The sequence below is a fragment of the Homo sapiens genome, chromosome 17 (assembly GCF_000001405.40).
Source record: "Homo sapiens chromosome 17, GRCh38.p14 Primary Assembly".
Lineage (NCBI taxonomy): Eukaryota > Metazoa > Chordata > Mammalia > Primates > Hominidae > Homo > Homo sapiens.
Window position 1 is genome coordinate 58,500,560 of NC_000017.11, and position 17,351 is coordinate 58,517,910.

The 17,351-nt window shown below is 49.8% G+C and overlaps 1 protein-coding gene across 7 annotated transcripts in view, besides 2 other annotated features; it reads right to left on the reverse strand.

Annotated features, from left to right (window-relative positions):
• MTMR4 (myotubularin related protein 4) overlaps window positions 1-17,351 on the reverse strand; it is a 29,511-nt gene that overhangs the window by 11,023 nt on the left and 1,137 nt on the right. For 2 of the 7 annotated variants that reach the window (XM_006722168.5, XM_047437019.1), the window contains 14 exons: window positions 16,021-16,059; window positions 12,293-12,382; window positions 11,831-11,947; window positions 10,870-10,952; window positions 8,122-8,282; window positions 7,909-8,005; window positions 7,602-7,715; window positions 6,564-6,760; window positions 6,184-6,312; window positions 4,913-5,024; window positions 4,220-4,415; window positions 3,744-3,929; window positions 3,491-3,661; window positions 3,185-3,339 (listed from right to left, as the gene is read on the reverse strand). In XM_006722168.5, coding sequence (XP_006722231.1) covers window positions 3,185-3,339; window positions 3,491-3,661; window positions 3,744-3,929; window positions 4,220-4,415; window positions 4,913-5,024; window positions 6,184-6,312; window positions 6,564-6,760; window positions 7,602-7,715; window positions 7,909-8,005; window positions 8,122-8,282; window positions 10,870-10,952; window positions 11,831-11,947; window positions 12,293-12,382; window positions 16,021-16,023 — 1,811 coding nt within the window. In that variant the 5' untranslated portion in view covers window positions 16,024-16,059. Of the gene's footprint in view, window positions 1-3,184; window positions 3,340-3,490; window positions 3,662-3,743; window positions 3,930-4,219; window positions 4,416-4,912; window positions 5,025-6,183; window positions 6,313-6,563; window positions 6,761-7,601; window positions 7,716-7,908; window positions 8,006-8,121; window positions 8,283-10,869; window positions 10,953-11,830; window positions 11,948-12,292; window positions 12,383-13,803; window positions 14,080-14,432; window positions 14,525-16,020; window positions 16,060-16,144; window positions 17,322-17,351 lie in introns of those variants that run through there. The other 5 variants (NM_001378066.1, XM_011525460.4, NM_004687.5 and 2 more) reach the window with 5 other exon arrangements.
• Window positions 12,883-12,942: an enhancer, noted in NCBI's record as "active region_12483". NCBI's record gives its function as "activates an Ori minimal core promoter by ATAC-STARR-seq in GM12878 lymphoblastoid cells {active_cell/tissue: GM12878}" and the evidence as "EXISTENCE:reporter gene assay evidence [ECO:0000049][PMID:35858748]".
• Window positions 13,803-14,262: a silencer, noted in NCBI's record as "silent region_8771". NCBI's record gives its function as "represses an Ori minimal core promoter by ATAC-STARR-seq in GM12878 lymphoblastoid cells {active_cell/tissue: GM12878}" and the evidence as "EXISTENCE:reporter gene assay evidence [ECO:0000049][PMID:35858748]".

Sequence of the window (17,351 nt, forward strand, 5' to 3'; positions counted from 1 at the left end):
CCAACATGGTGAAACCCCGTCTCTACTAAAAATACAAAAAACTAGCCAGGTGTGGTGGTGGGCACCTGTAGTCCCAGATACTCGGGAGGCTGAGACAGAAGAATCACTTGAACCCGGGAGGCGGAGGTTGCAGTGAGCCAAGATTGCGCCACTGCACTCCAACCGGTGACAGAGCGAGATTCTGTCTCAAAAAAAAAAAAAAAAAAAAAAAAGAATTGCTCTCTCTAGTTGTTCTGTGTCTTATCTTACAGCTTAAAATTATCTTGAAAGTAGAACCAATATCTTCTATTTCTTTGCTGTAGCCCACAAAACCTAGTACAGTAATACGCAACTTGTAGGTATTAAAGAAACATTTGTTGAATTGATAAATCAGATACTAAGTTAATGAAATGATTATTAAATGGGTCACAGAGCTTATTAAAAATTTGATTAAAAGTTATGGCCCCTCTCCCAGGAAAAGTAAACCTATGAACCTGTAGCCAAATTCTGCATAGTTTGGGGAAGGAAAAAAAAAATCACTGAAATCCTGAAACCTATCACGGTCCCCTCACAATGACTTAGTTCAAAAGACCCTAAAACCAATAATTTGGGATGCTGGGCTTTTTGTTTTCCTTTATAATATTCAACCAATAACATATGTTATATTTTAACTTTAAAAACTTTCAGCCAGGCTGGGCATGGTGGCTCACACCTGTAATTCCAGTGTTTTGGGAGGCCAAGGCAGGAAGATCACTCGACGCCAGGAATTTAAGACTAACCTGGGCAACAGACCCGTCTCTACAAAAAATAAAAATTGGCACATGCCTAATGAGCTAATTAGCTACCTGGGAGGCTGAAACAGAAGGATTACCTGAGGTCAGGAGTTTGAGGTTACTATAATTGTGCCACTGCACCCAGCCTGAGTGACAGAACAAGACCCTGTCTCTAAAAAACAAAAAAGCTCTCAGCCAATAAACAAATATCAAAATTTGAGATATATATACACATATATACACGTATATATGTATATATGTGTGTATATATATAGTATACATATATACACACATATATGTATATGTCTATGTATATACGTATACATGTATATATGTATACGGATATATATACATATATGTGTATATATATATACGCGTATATATGTATATATATCCTTTGAGCACAGTATTTTCATTCAAAAATACTAGCACAAATGCAAAAATATGCATACAAAGTAACCCTACTGGCCAGGCGCAGGAGCTCACACCTGTAATCCCAACACTTTGGGAGGCCGAGATGGTGGATAACTTGAGGTCAGGAGTTCAAGACCAGTGTGACCAACATGGTAAAACCCCGTCTCTACTACAAATACAAAAATTAGCTGGGCATGGTGGCGCATGCCTGTAATCCCAGCTACTCGAGAGGCTGGGGCAGGAGAATCACCTGAACCCGGGAGGCAGAGGTTGCAGTGAGCTGAGATTGTGCCACTGCAGTCCAGCCTGGGCAACAGAGCGAAACTCTGTCAAAAACAAAAAAACAAAACAAAAAAAAAACACACAAAGTAACCCTACTAAACTATGTACTTAAAAATGGTGTAGATGGTAAATAGCATGTGTATTTTACAATTTTTTTTTTTTTTTTTTGAGATGGAGTCTCACTCTATTGCCCAGGCTGGAGTGCGTGGCGTGATCTTGGCTTACTGCAATCTCCACCCCCCCAGATTCAAGCGATTCTTATGCCTCAGCCTCCTGAGTAGATGGGATTACAGGTGCCTGCCACCATGCCCGGCTAATTTTTGTATTTTTAGTAGAGACAGGGTTTCACCATGTTGGCCAGGCTGGCCTTGAACTCCTGACCTCAAGTGATCCACCTGCCTCGGCCTCCCAAAGTGCTGGGATTACAGGCATGAGCCACCGTGCCCAGCCTGTAATTTACAAATTTTTAAAAAGCTACACATATAAGGATGTAAAGCACTCCCTGTAATGATAAAAAAAAAAAAAATGGAAATTACCTAAATGATGAGTAGGAATCTGGTTATATAAATTGTGGACTACTCTGAAGCCAATAAAAACAAGAAAGGGAATTTAGATGTGCTGTCATGAGAAGACAACCTAATACAAAGCGGGAAAAACAATTTGCAGAATATGCAAAAAAGTAAAAAGCGTATGTAAAAATATTCTGATTTTGTTTATAAAAAATGTTTCCATATGAAAGCGTGAGTGTGGATTTACCTATGTAGAGATAAACATTTGGAAAGACACGTACCAAATGTTAGCAGTGGACACCTGTGGGGACAAGGATCATAAGGGAAGATTTTCATTTTCTACTTTTATATTGACTATTTTTTTAAAACAAGAAATAGGTATTACTCTCATAAATTAACCAACATCATCTCACTTCTCCCCAAACATTGAGCCAGAAGATACCTAATTTTATGTCTCCCTTTTAAATTCTGGCCTTTTTCTGAGGGAGTAATATAAGGCCATCCTCCTGCTGGGAACCCATTTCCCTGAGAGTCAGATGTTTCTGGAAGCTAATGCTGGACACAACAAAGGTTGCTACTAATATAGCAAGCTCCCCATGCCCTGTACCAGTGAACAAAAATCAAGACCATTCCCACAAACCTTCCTAAAACAGTCCTTTCTGTTTTGTTCTCTCCCCTGCTTGGGTATATCATACAGAGTGATAGCAGCTCCTCCAGGAAAGAAAGTATCCAACCTTATCTTCAGAGGACCTTGAAAACACACAGAGTGCACTCCAGGCTAGCTACAAGTCTTGGCCAAGTTTTTCCTGCAAATGACTCAAGAAGTTGCTTTTAAATACCTCAGAAAGAGGCCGGGCACGGTGGCTCACGCCTGTAATCCCATCACTTTGGGAGGCCGAGGCAGGTGGATCATTTGAGGTCAGGAGTTTGAGACCAGCCTGGCCAACATGGTGAAACCCCATCTCTACTAAAAATACAAAAAATTGGCTGGGCGTGGTGGTCGGTGCCTGTAATCCAAGCTACTCGGGAGGCTGGGGCAGGAGAATCAGTTGAACCCGGGAAGTGGAGGTTGCAGTGAGCCAAGATTGCACCACTGGCACTCCACCCTGGGCGACAAAGTGAGATTCCGTCTCAAAAAAAAGAAAGAAAGAGAACATTTAGATGAGATGGGAAACAGTTACTGCCTTCCTAGTGGAGAGAGGAGAAAGGAAGAAGGGCTTTTCTTACCTGTCCAGAGAGCGGCCAGAGAACTCCTGGCTCTGGGCCACTGGGGAAAGGTAAAGATCCATGTTTTCTTCCCCAAGTGTGCATGGAGATGATGCTGGCAGATAAACAGCTGTCCAGAGGTGCAGGGCCCGGACATGACAAACAGGATGCAGGACCTAGGGAAGCAGCCCAATACTAGTGCTTTGTCAAGAGTTCCTTGTCCTTTTTCTTTCCCTAAGCCCTTGACTCTACATTTTCCCTACTGACTCAGCTGCTTCTCCCTATAGGTTTCTAAATAGCACCTACAGGAAAAGGGCTCAGACTCACCATGTCTGAGCTGGGTGTGTAGAGGAAGTTATGAAAGTTTTTATTGCCAGCTCGAAGGAGCGCCCACACAGAGCAGGTCCGCTTGTAGATGTTGCGCTTCTCTCGCTCACAGGGGTTGTTGGCCAGGAAGGTGCCGTAGAGGCAGGAGTATGTGTGTTGCACCAGTTTTACCTAGAAAGCAGAGAGAGCTTGCACCTGGGGGCCTCGGGCTGTCATTCCCCCCATCCCTGTTGTCACAGGCCTTAGGACTTACCAGGAATGCTTCATTAAATTCAAACAGGCAGGGGAACTGCTTAAGCAACTGATGAACAGAATCAAGCCACTGGAGGAACACAGGGCATTGTTCGTTTTGGTCCTCCACATTCTCTTGGTGGCCACAGCGATCTCCAAACTTGTGCCCAAAATCCAGCCAGTCAGACTCCACTAACACTTGGAAGCCCTGCAAAAAAAGAAACTGTTCAAACATAGGGCCTCTCTGGAAATGCTGATGTGCTACTCCCCTGGGAACTGCCCAAAGCAGGAAGCTGGCAGCTTCAAAGAAAAATAGGACTGGACCTAGAAGAGGACTCAAAGCCACCAATTTTCCAAGCCTTTGGGAGTTGGAAAAAAAAAGAAAAAAAGAGCCACCAATGTCCTCTACTGAAAGATCCCCAGGACAGATCCAGAGGGCTCAACACCTTCCCTCCTGCCACATTCCTTCTGGTTTTCCCACCGAATTCCTCTCAATACCTCCAACGTCCTGTAATATGGGTCCAGTAATATTTTGGCCAGGGCTACGATCTGCGGTGTGCGGTCCCAGCCATCTGAGCAGTGTACCAGCACAGGCCGGCCTTCCCGGTCTACTGTATTAGCCACCAGCACAGCTGCTTTTAGCATCACCGACAAGTGCTGCAGCCATTTGGTACTCTCCAGTGCCGACAACCAGCTACACAAAAGCAGACATCAAGTCGGTCACAAAGGGTGCTGAGGCCACAGCAGTCTCTCCACCATCCACAGCCAGCCCCACCCAACAAAGTCCCCATTGAGAACTGAAACCAAGAGGTACAACCCAGGGCCTTTTGGACAAGAGGTATCTAGCAGGAAGGTAGGGAAGACAGGACCTACAGCAGATAAAAGCATCTGAAGCTCAAAAGAGGAACTGAGAAGCATCACATGCACACTCAGCCATTTCCTCTCCCCAGTTCTCTGTGTTCTTTGAGTAGAACAACTGATCCAAACGAAAGGAATCCATGTCCTGTGACCACGCCAAAGTGTTGGCTGAGAAGTGGAAGGGTTCTTGGAACTAGCCCACGGCACCCAACTCCACCCAGGCCCTCAGGTCTCCTGCTCTCCAAACTTCTCATCTCCCCATCTAATCTTCCAAGAATAAGAGGTACTGGGTAAGGAATGAGACTGGAAGGAATCCAAGTAGGGAACACCTACTTGCTAGGATCCGGCATCTGGCTACACACAGCCCGGAGGTACTGAAAGCTGTTCCGGATGGCATGGATGTTGGCCATTCCCATGAACACGACCTCACAGTTGGGATAGTACTCTGTAGACATGACAGGAGAGTGGGACATAAAAGCACGTCCTAGGCCGGGCGCGGTGGCTCACACCTGTAATCCCAGCACTTTGGGAGGCTGAAGCGGTTGGATCACCTGAGGTCAGGAGTTCAAGAACAGCCTGACTAACACAGTGAAACCCCATCTCTACTAAAAATATAAAAATTAGCTGGCCATAGTGGTAGGCACTTGTAATCCCAGCTACTCGGGAGACTGAGGCAGGAGAATTGCTTGAACCTGGGAGATGGAGGTTGCAGTGAGCTGAGATGGCACATTGCACTCCAGCCTGGGCGACAGAGCGAGACTCCGTCTCAAAACAAACAAACAAACAAAAAAAGCACGTCCTGGAAACAGGCATCCAGGACAAGAGTGGTCCTGGTGGACAAAGCTTTCCTGGCAGGGCAGAGCACTCCAGGATAGGAACTAAATACAGTCTTGAAATCTGAATCACACTTGTATCTCTGGAGACTCAGGTGCCATATATTAATAATAGTAACAGTAATGACAAATGATAGCAGTACTTAGAAAGACAATATATAATCAATTCTCAATAAATAGTAGCTGCTCTGTGGCAATAATTTTATATATACAACTTCTTTTTCTTTTTTAAGACAGGGTCTCATGGTCACCCAGGCTAGAGGTGCAGTGGCATGATATCAGCTCACTGCAACCTCTGCGTCCCAGATGCAAGCGATTCTCATGCCTCAGCCTCCCAAGTGGCTGGGATGGGGCCACAGGCATGCACCATCATGCCCAGCTAATGGTTTGTATTTTTGATAGAGGCAGGGTTTCACCATGTTGCCCAGGCTGGTCTCAAACTCCTGAGCTCAAGCCATCCGCCTGCCTCTGCCTCCCAAAGTACTGGGATTACAGGCATGAGCCACTGGGCCCAGCCTACATATGCAACTTCTAATCATCCCAACAATTTTGCAAAGTGTGTAACATCCCCTTCTTATAGAAGAGAAAATAAAGCTTGGACAGATTAAGCAACTTCAGCATAGTCATAGCCATAGCTAGTAGGTAGCAAAGTTGTGATTACAAGCCAGGTTTGTTTGGGCTCTTTCCACTATACAAATGGCCCCCAACCCCCTCCTCACCAAAGCCACCCAGAGCACAGGCTGGCTGCAGACACTGGGATAACAGCAATACCTTCACATTCACAGCCTCCACCCTTGGCCCGGTTGGCCACTGCTGCCGTGTAGGATCGCGCATCCAGGATCAGCAGCTTTTGAGGAGCTGCTGTGCTCTCCACTCCAGAGCACGCAGTCAGAGAAGAATCTAAACACACAGCAGGAAGGAGTCCCTGAGTCAGCCAGCCACCCAACCTCTTGCTGGCCCTCTGGCACTCCCTCTCAGAAGGCAGAACATGCAACTAGAGACCCCTCATACCCCACAGCTTCTGACAAGGCAGGGACCCCAGCACCCCGTGTGTTGTCATCTTCCCAGACTCTCACTGGGGACTCCCTGGGAGCCAATGAAGCCAAGGAGGGGGCCTGCTCCCTGGGGGGTTAGCATCATCCACACCTTACCAAAGTCAGCATCACACGCCTCGCTGGTATCATTATTCCCGGTGCTGAGGGAGCCCCCAGTGGCCCTTGTCCCCGGGTCCAGGGCACAGGCTTTAGCAATGGACGTGACCAGGTACTCATCATCAGCATTGCGCCAGCCCCACCAGCTGATCTCTGGCTGGCTGCAGCGGGCGATGGCAGCCCCATTGCGCAAGTGTCTGACAAAACAGAAGAAACCGTAATGCCCTTGGCATTCGAAGCCTCCAGAGGCCTACCTCAGGGGGTTAGACCAAAGTCTCTAGAGCCAGCAGGGGCTACCAACTCATCCAGGCCATAACAGCAACCAAAAGCCCCAACGTCACTAGCAGGCTTCACCGTTTACAAAGCACCATCACACATACTTTCTCAAATGGGCTCTGTATGTCCAAGGTGACCTTGACTCATCAAATCTGCACAGCAACTGCTCCAGGTACAGACACCCAGCAGGAGAACAAGGCCTGGCTGAGCCAAGAATAGGAACAATTCCAAACTTCAGGGTTACTTCCTGTCTCACTCTATTTTAGCTACAATATTCTAGTGCAGGGATCAGCAAACATTTTCAGTAAAAAACCAGACAACAATTTTTGGCCTTGTGGGTCACAACCAGTTTCTGTCATGTATTCTTCTTTGCTTTTTTTAAAAATAGCCCTTTAAAAATGTAAAAACCACTCACAGCTTACAAGCCGTTTTATATAATAGGCTATAAGCCAGATTTTGTCTGCAGGCCAGTTTGCCAACCCCTGTACTAATGTGTGTATAAAATAATGTACTATTTTATACACACACACACACACACACACACACACACACACACTCTAAAAAAAGGGGGGGAATGAATAAACTCCCTAATAGCCTTATTCTTAGGAGAAAAAACTAAGATAGTTTTTGTTTTAAAGTTATTTCATACTTCCCCATAGAGTGTCAATTCTCAGTCAACCAGGTTACCCAAAATCTCCAATTTTGACTCTTTCCTTGTTGCATAAGAAATGGCCTCCCTACTTCCCAGCCCCACTGCCTCACCTATACACAACCACGGGAATCCGCTTCCAGGAGCGGAAGGAAGCCACGTTCTCCAGCTCTTTGTCAGTGATCCACACAGGAACCAGCAGCTTCTGGGGGTAACTGGGGCACAATCTGAGAAGAGACCAGGTGGGGGTCACTGCACTGGGTCTAAAACATGTGATGACAGGATCCCTGGGGATGGCTTTGTGGGAAGAGAAACCATGAGCCTTCCTCCCTCTCAGACTCAGAAGCTGTGCCCACCACACTTTATCCAAACACGGAAGTAGTTTGGTGTGGAAGGTGTTTTGGTCCCCAACCCTCTCACTTGTAGTTGCTGTTGATGTGTGAGACTCTCCAGACGTTCTGCAGGTCAAAGCCCATCCTTGCAAGCTCCGCCTCCTGTCGACAACGTATGTGCTCACCTGCAACAGAGCCCCCACGATGGTTAGCTTCCCAGAGCACCAATGTGCAGGAGTGGAGGAGGGATGAGAACTAAGGGGTAAGAAGCAGCCTCCCAAAGAAAATAGACTGGCCTCACCTGGCTGACATAGGTGAGTGTGCTGGTCCTCCTCGGTCAGCCCCAGGCACCAGGCATGGTAGGCAAAGGCAAAGAGGTCTTCAGGCTTGGCAGGTCTTGCTGTGGCTCGGCTTAGCCGTGAGAGCCACTCTTGGCACTGCTTAAAAGTGGAGAAGTGGCACCTGCCAGGCAAGAAGCCACAGGCCTAGGTGAGGCAAAGTGCAGTTGTGCCATGGGGCTATCAGGGCCAAAAACACAGCCACAGGAAGGCTGTGAGGAGAGAAGGCTGCAAAGCAAGAGGTAAAGCAGTGGGGACCCAGGGTGGGGGGACGAGGGACACTGGCCAACACCCAACAGAAGTTGTCTCTTGTGATAATTCTCTTCCCAAGAACTCCTGTGTTTGAGGCATACTTATCCTCTCGAATGGGGCGCTACTGTTTCTCGTATCAAATCTAAATGCTACCATGTGGCCCTGAACGTCTGCACTCCTTGTCCCTACCCTAATGGACCAGTGTTATCTCCCATGACTCCCTAACTCAAACCTTCTGCTTCAGGCGGGAAGTTCTGCTCACATCCTTCCCATCTCCTTGGTTTATCTTCTGCTTGATAATGTCTCCTCTCTGCCTAGCCACATCCTACTGATGCTTTGAAGATAGTTTCAGTCTCACCTCTTCCTTGAAGCCTTCCCAGCCTACTCTATTCCAGAAACTCCTTCCTCTCTTGATTCTTAATGTGCTTGGAATATATATATATACCTTTTTTTTTTTTTTTGAGAGAGGGTCTTGCTCTTGCTCTGTCACCCAGGCTGGAGTGTAGTGGCACGATCACAGCTCCCTGCAGCCTCGACCTCCTGGGCTCAGGCAATCCTCACAAATCAGTCCCCTGAGTAGCTGAGACCATAATTGTGCACCACCACGTCTGGCTAACTTTTTAAATTCTTCATAGAGACAGGGTCTCTCTATGTTGTCCAGGCTGATCTTGAACTCCTGGGCTCAAGCGATCCTCCTCCCTCGGCCTCCCAAAGTACTAGGATTACAGGTATGTGCCACTGTGCCTGGCCTACTTGGAGTACTAAGCAACACATTTTCCCATAGCATATTGCCACATGTTAAATCTTCTTCCAGCAGCTAGAGTTTAGCCTCCTTGAAGGGAAGGGCAATGTGAATGCTCCTTCTGAATGCCCCACAGACCTGAGCACATGGTAGGCTCTAAAGTAGGTATCCTTTTAATAAACCTTGGAGTCATCCAGATTCCTCTTTCTTTCACTTCAAATCTGTCAGCAAATCTTCTCATCTCCACCTTCAAAATACACCCAGAATCTGAATGCTTCTCACCGCTTTGGCTGCTACCACCTCAGACAGGCCACCATGATCTCTCATCTGGGTAACTGCAATAGCTTCCTAACTAGTCTCCCAGTTTTTGCTTTTGCTCTTGCCCCCATTCTCTTTCATCTAGTCTCAATATAGCAGCCAGTGTGATTCTATGAAACATTAATCAGATCACATCACTCCTTTGCTCAAAATCCTCCAGTGGTTTCTCAGTTCCCTCAAAGTAAAAGCCAGTCTTCATGACAGCCAAAGTGTCTGACACCCGGCTTTGTTCTCAGGTCATATAACCCACTACCCTCACCCACACGTGCTCTACTCCAACAACACCAGCCTCCCTGCCAGTCTCCCAATATGCAGGCACACACCCACCTCAAGGCCTTTGCACTTGCCGTTCTCTGTCTCTGGCACACTCTTCCACCAAATAGCCACATGGCCACTTTCTTCAAGTCTTGACTCGACTGCCACCTTTTCGGTGCAGCTTCTCTGATCACTTTTGTTTTTTTGAGACAGGGTCTCACTCTGTCATCCAGGCTGGAGTGCAGTGGTGTAATCACAGCTCACTGCAGCCTCGACTTCTCAGGCTCAAGAGGTCCTCCTATCTCAGCCTCTTGAGTAGCTGGGACTACAGGCATGCATCACCACGCCTGGCTAATTTTTTATATTTTTAGTAGAGATGGGGTCTCGTCCTGTTGCCCAAGCTGATCTTGAACTCCTAAGCTGAAGCGATCTCCCCACGCATCACCACACCTGGCTAATTTTTTCTATTTTTAGTAGAGATGGGGTCTCGCTATGTTGCCCAGGCTGATCTTGAACTCCTAAGCTGAAGGGATCTTCCCACCTTGGCCACCCGAAGTGCTGGTATTACAGGCGTGAACCACCGTGCCCAGCCTGATTGTTTTACAATCTTCACCCTCATAGCACTCCTTATTCCCTTTCCCTGCTTTATTTTTTTCCTTTACACTTACTATCATTTCACAAATTTTACTTATTACTTACGGTTGGTATCTCCTCATTGGAATGTAAGCTCTCTGAGGCGGCAAAATTTTGTCTATTTGTTCCCTGCTGTATCCCCAGGGCTTAAAACAGGCTGGCATTGAGTAGGGTACTCAATACATGTATATCAAATGAATAAATAAATAAACCAACAATAATATGAGTGCTCTGTGCCAGATATTGTCCTCGGTGCTTTCATACACATACACATTATCTCACTTAATCCTTACGATGACTCCATGAACTAGGCATTACCCCCATTTTTTCAGGTCAAGATCCTATGGGTCAGTAAACTGACCTCCCAACCCAGAACATGGTCTTCACCTTTTCTTCCAACTGGGGAAAGTGAGGCAGGATCTTTCCTCTCTTGCACCAGAGAAACCCTGCAGCACAGAGAACTGGACAAGACTAGGGCCAGGGGACCTGAGTGAGGCTCCGTTGTTCTCACCTCACCACTTTGGAGTCCTTGCAGGAAATGTGCAACTGGAACATATCACGGCTCTCCACACTGTCAATCATCCGGAGGGGGACCTGTAGAGGAAGGGCAAACTGAAGCTCAGACTCCCCACTGGGTACCACTCCTCACCCTCACCCTAGCGTAGGCACTAATGTATCAATAGCAGGAAGGAAACCAACATTTACTGAGGGTCTGTTAAGCACCTGGTAACTGTACGGAGTCCTCTGCATATGTGATCCCAATTAATGATCCCAATAACGTTGCACAGCAGGTGCTTTCAGCCCATATTACGAGGAGAAAAATCAAGCCTCAGTTAGGTGACTTGACCAAGGTCACCCAGCTGGTGAGTGGCAACGCAGGAAAAGAGCCCAGGTTTGCCTGACTCCAAAGCCTGTGTTCTTCCAACAATGCCACTGTGCTCCTTAGAAGGGCCAGTAATAGAATAATGGAAAGAGAGAAGAGGAGAAAGGAGAATGAGCCAGAAACAGAGCTAGGAAAATGAGGCAGGAAAACATGAGGTCAGAGAGAAACAGAAGGGATCCCCAACTTTTTTTTTTTTATTTTTTTGAGAGGTAGTCTCACCCTGTCACCCAAGCTGGACAGCAGTGGCACAATCTCGGCTCACTGCAACCTCCACCTCCCAGGTTCAAGTGATTCCCGTACCTCAGCCCCCGAGTAGGTGGGATTACAGGTGCGCACCACCAAGCCCGACTAATTTTTGTATTGTTAGTAGAGACACAGTTTCACCATGTTGGCCAGGCTGGTCTCGAACTCCTGACCTCAAGTGATCCACCCGCCTCGGCCTCCCAAAGTGCTGGGATTACAGGCGTGAGCCACTGCGCCCGGCCTCCAACTTTTTTAATGACATGATCAAGGACAGCCTTGGAACAATCCCACCTTGAACTTCATAGGGATTCTAGCTTAGGGGTAGGAGAACAATACAGAAACTCACGTTGATGACAGAGTCCTTGAATTTGATATGCAGCCGGTAGTTAGAGATGGCAATGAGGGCATCGGCTGCCCGGCCCAGGAACTCTACTCCCTCACCCTGCAGCACTGTGAAGGGGACCTGTCAAGGGGCAGAGAAACCTTCAGTCCAGAAGTGAGTGACCACCTTATCCTCTTCTACAGCCCCTGATCTGTGGGATCCCCTCTGGAAAAGGTGGGCCAAGGCAAGAGAGGAGAGTTCTCTCCACGGTAACAGCACCAGGCAACAGCTGTACAGGAAAGCTGCCTTTCCTTCCCTGCGGCCAAAGGCTCCAGGATGCGCAGACAAACCCTCCTCCTCCAGAGACCAGGGAACATGAAGCCAGAGCTCTGGTACCAGATGCCCTTGAGGATTTTTGGGAGAAGGGAGGGTGTTTTTTAACTGGGCAGGGAGCCCCATCTATCCTGGCCCCCAACTCCTCCTTACCTGAAGATTCTCTTCCTCCTTCACTAGTTCCTTGGGGGGGAACAGATCCTTGGCTTGGATGTACTCCAGGCTGGGGGGCCCCTCCTCACCCTGTAGGAAGGCCACAGTCCTAAGTCACCAAGCTCCACTTAGCCCATCAGGCTCATTCTGCTCCTCTCCCCACCAAGAAATCCACAGATACCCACACACACACACCTCTAAAGGTTCTGGTCACCAGAGAAGGGAAAAGAGATCTGACTTGGTTGGAGACAGGGAAGGGTGAAATGGAGAGCATATCAGCCTATTAAGCCTAAGGAAAGAGTGAGGCCCCAGGAGGAATTGGGAATCTGCACTCTTCAAAGAGGGACTCTCCTATAGAACCAACATTTCAAAAATGGAGGAGAGAAAACTAAGGAAAAGAAAGACTCTTTCCCTTAGACCCGCATAAGGGTAAGGCAGGAGTGGGGATGGGAAAGTGCTGTCCTGAGGAAAAGGAGCCAGGTATGGCAGCTGGTTTCAGAGAGAAGGGAAATCAGGCGCCTACAAGCCACTGAAGCTTCAATCTGGTGGGTGAAGGAGACAAAGAGGAGTGGGTGGGGGGATTCAGTCCCACGCCTCTAGAGGGCCTTCACCGACGCTTTCAAAAGGAAGACGTGTTTGAGAGCTGGGCTTATCTTCTTGTTAGACCCACATTGCTGACAAGCCCCCATTACCTGCCAAGTAACCTGCTCTGCCTGCTAATCAGAGGGGAATTCCTGAGGAATACCCACAGCAAGCAAAAGGAACTCCCCTCCCAACCACCAGGGAGGGGACCCGGGGGGATCCACGCGCCTGGGAGGAGCCAGGAGACCCAAGGACAGCCAGGGGAGAGAGAGAGAGGAGGCCCGGCAGACACCCACGGGGAAGGTGGGGGGACAGCTGAGAGGACAGATGGGGGAAGCTGGGAAGGAGCATCAGCCAGAGCGGGAGGAGGGGAGGACCGGGAATGATGCAGAGGTACGGAACCCTGCAGAGGCAGGGAAGATGGAGAAGAGAGGCTGTCTGGGGGACAGTCAAGGAGAAAAGGCTGGCATGCCAGGTGAGGGATGGAATGGTGGAAGAGGGAAGGGACTGGAGCCCCAAGCCAGCTCAAAGACATCCCGTGCTCCCCGACCAACCTCCTAACATCCCATTCAGCCTACTAGCCACATCCCACATCCCCAAGCAAGGATTCAGCGGGTGGGACCAAGAGGGAGAGGCGGAGGTAAAGGGATGTACCCCTGCAGGGCGGGGCCTAGAGATCTGCAGTCAAGGGCAGTGGCTGCGGGGCCAGGATGGACCACAGAATTTCCATTCCTGGCCTTCGACCATCTCCGGCACCCAAAGATTGAAGCAAGTCCAAGAAATAAAAGGGTTAACCCACCTTCCCTGCCCCCCAAACGTTCGGGGCCGGGCCAGGGGCCTCGGGAAGGGGGATGGGCTGAAATCGAGGGCTGACCCTGGGCGGGGCTGCGGGTGCCTCCTAGGCCCCCAAAGGCAGGGTGGGCACTTACGAAGCAGCTAAGCATGGAGCAGGAGACGCGGGCGGTCAGGCTCATGGTCGCGGGCGGTCTGGGCCAGCGCACATGTCCCCGGAGCCGCTGCGCTGCCCGCCAGCCCCGGGCGCCCGCCGCATCCCGGCTGCGGGGCTCGCCAGGTGCAGCCGCGGCGGCCAAGAGGCTAGGGCGCTGGTGGCCGGGCCTCCGCGCGGCTCCCGCGCGCCTCTCCCCTCCTCTCCACAATGGAGCGGGCCCAGCTCCGCCCTCCCGCACGAGTGCAGAAGGGAGGGGAGCCAGGCGAGGGGAGAGCCCGGGACCGCGGCGGGAAGGCGGAGGTAGAGGCGGGGCGGCTCCGCGGGCCCCGCCCACAAGCCCAGCCTCCTCCCTCCCCGCGGACCCTGGGCCTCGTAGGAGGGCGTACCCTACTCCAGGGACCTTTAGGAGCTTTCAGGAATCTGGGCTACGGGACCGCCCACATCTTCTCATTTCCCTTCTTCTAAGGTGAGCCACCCCATGCCCTCTTACAAACCCATCCCCGCGCCCCCTCCCCTAAGTTCCCCCGACGCCTGCTCTGGATCCCAAGGTGGAGCTCACCTACCCGCACCCCATTTGCTTCCTCCTTTCCCTCCAAAACCACTACCCACCATGCCCCTGCCCATCAGGGTCCTTCAATCCCGTGACTTCGTTAAACCTTTCTTTCCCCTTAGAATGGTGCCAGGTTAGTCATTCCACGCTCCTGGAAAGGGAAATGAGCTTTTTATTCCAACGCCCCTACCCAACCCTACTCCTTCAGCTCCATCTCTCCCTTGTTTCACATTCTGATCTCTGGGTAAGAAAGCCCTTCTTGGAGGAGAAAGGATTTCTTAGTCTGGGAAAGTGAAGAGCTAGAAGTATCGACCACAGAAGCTATACAAAAAAACGAAACTTGAAACCCAGGAGCAGCGGAGTAGAGAGAGTTGGGTAGAGGGCCAAGGAATAAGGACCAGGAATAAGGGGCTCAAAATGTCACCAAGAGTCACAGAGGGAGGTGGCTGGAACCCCAAACTTCCTGCACCTTGTAACTTTCAGACACCAGGGCTTTTGTCTTGTTTGGGGGAGAAGGGAGTAATAAAAGAAAACCTGACATTTTATTAAGCATCTACAATGAGCCAGGCAGTTTCTAACATTATCTCAGTAAAACTTTTCAAGCCCCAAGAAGTAAACCTTATCCTGTCTTACTCGTGAGACTCAAGCTTAGAGAGAAAGTATGTAATTTAACTAAGTGGTGGTGCTAGGATTTGAAATTAGATGAAGCTGACTGTGAAGCCCATGCTCTTTTCAGGGTAGCCCAGAAGAGAAAAAGAGGAGCTATCTGTTGGTGGGGGCCAAAACCAGCAGGCTTTCTGAGAAGAGACTGAACCAATAGTGCACACACCAAATCCACATGTCTATGGAAGGAAGGGAGGGAAGGAGGAAATCCTCTCATCTACTGAATTCTTTAACCTGCCCCTAAGCACAAGGGACACCTAAAAGACACCGAAGAGATACTACCAGGTTAAGGGCCTGGTCTGGGCCAGGGCCTACAGCTCTCTAGGCCTTTCCCATCTCACTGCCTCCTCCTAGCTCTTAGGAGTTAAGGGCTTCCCTGGACTTGGGGTGAGAGAAGGGCTGTTACAGTTAATGGAAAATTAATAGGATCATTGTAAACCACCTCTGGTGATATTCTGGGCACCCTGAAGATGCTATCCTGATAGATATTCAATCAGCTGTCACCTGTAGTGGCTTAACAGCAGCACCCTGGAACTAGAGAAGCCCCACAGTTTTGGTGGAGTCACTCCTGATATAGCATCCACAATATTCAAAGGACCCACCAGAAGTCCAAAGATCTTGAGATAAAGAAGGCCCAGCTTTTCAGACCAGAACACAGAGATTCTACCGGGGACCCAAGAAAAGCAAGAAGAGGGCTGTTATGAAGGGTTAATAGAACCAGTGGTGGGTAGGGAGTAGGAGGAAAGTGTGGGGCCTAGCACATGCAGAAAATGATTTCTAGAAGCTTCCAGTCCCAGTGCTGTATACTGGCTGATGTTTTGCAATCTAAAGAAACCCTAATTTATCTCCAGGGCAGATGAACATGTTTAGGAGCTGAACAGGGTAGCCTGGAGCTCAAGGTCTAGGACAGGTGGGGCAGCTTCACAGAGAAAGACACATGGATTACAGAAAACACAATGGCCTGAGGAAAGACAGGGTACTCACCATTCTACCGTGGCAAGGGTACTGGCTGCCTGCTTCTCACTGTAAGGAGACAGAGGAACATAAAAGTAAAGGACCCCATTAACATTACCATAGAATCAACAAATGACACACATCTACCCCTGACCTTCTCTACAACTCTTATTCTTCTCCCTCACAGAGACTCCAGTCTCTCCACAAGTCACCATGCCAGAGAGAGGCAATGGGAGCTACATGAGGAGAAAGCAACAAGTGATCCTGCAGGGCATGAAGTCAGCCACGAAGTTCTGAAACAGGAATGAGTGTCATCCAAGATTATTCAGCAGAATTCAGGAGTCCTGATTTCCAGACGCAGAGGGAGAACACTTCTTTCTCAGGGAGCAGAACTGCCAACTATGAAGAGACACAGGCTGCCCAACTGGGGCTCATTTTAGGCCCTGACTCTTGGGGTGAAGTGGCAGTAGTTGAAGGAGCATGAATCCACAGGAATGTTTTGCCAGTCTCTGAGTCTGGGAGTAGTACCCACCTGACCTGTTTACTGGGGGCAGAGTCCAGAGTGGGACAAGAGGGAGGGGACCACAACCTGTGATCAGAGGGCAGCAGGGCTGCACAGGTCCTCCTGAGTGTATTTGACACCAAGTGGGGTGGAGGTTATGGAGAGGAGGCCACACAACAGGGACAGAATCAGGCCAATCCAGGCCTTGGAGTCAGCATCTGTCCAATGAGCCCAAGTAACAGGGATTTCAGGATAGGGCCTCCTAGGCTCACTTAGGGAGCCAGGCCTAGGTTTCACTGACACTTTCCTTCATGCCTGCTTTCCTCAGGCAGTGCAGCAGAGCCCTGCGGGAGGCTGCGGGGATAAAAGCCTCCATCTGTGGTACTGCCCACCTCCCTGTTCACAGTATCCTCTTCCCTAGGCCATTCTCCCTCATGGGGGAACCGGCAAGAGGCAAGCCAGAGGTGCTGCCTCACCGCCCACTGGCAGCAGCCCCAGGGAAGGAAGGGAGGGAAGGAGGGACAAGGATCAGGCCTGGGAGGCCCAGGGTTTTCAGACCTAGGGGATCTGGTCCCAGGGGGCGGGCCAGGTTGGCAGGGGAGCCCAGGTGCCCAGGTTCTAGGGGCGGAGCCTAAAGACTGGGAGGCGGAGCCCCAAATGACAGAAGGCGGGACTCAGGAAAGCCGGTGGGGGCCAGGGCGGAGCCGGGCAAGACGCGGTCGTTGCGGTTCCCAGGCTTGCAGTGCAGGGGGCACGGTGACTCACCCAGGCGGCGTCCGCCCGACCCTCTGAGGCCGCGCTCTTGCCACTTCCGTCTCCCGCAGCTGCTGAGGCCGCGCAGTCCCGACCCCACCACAGT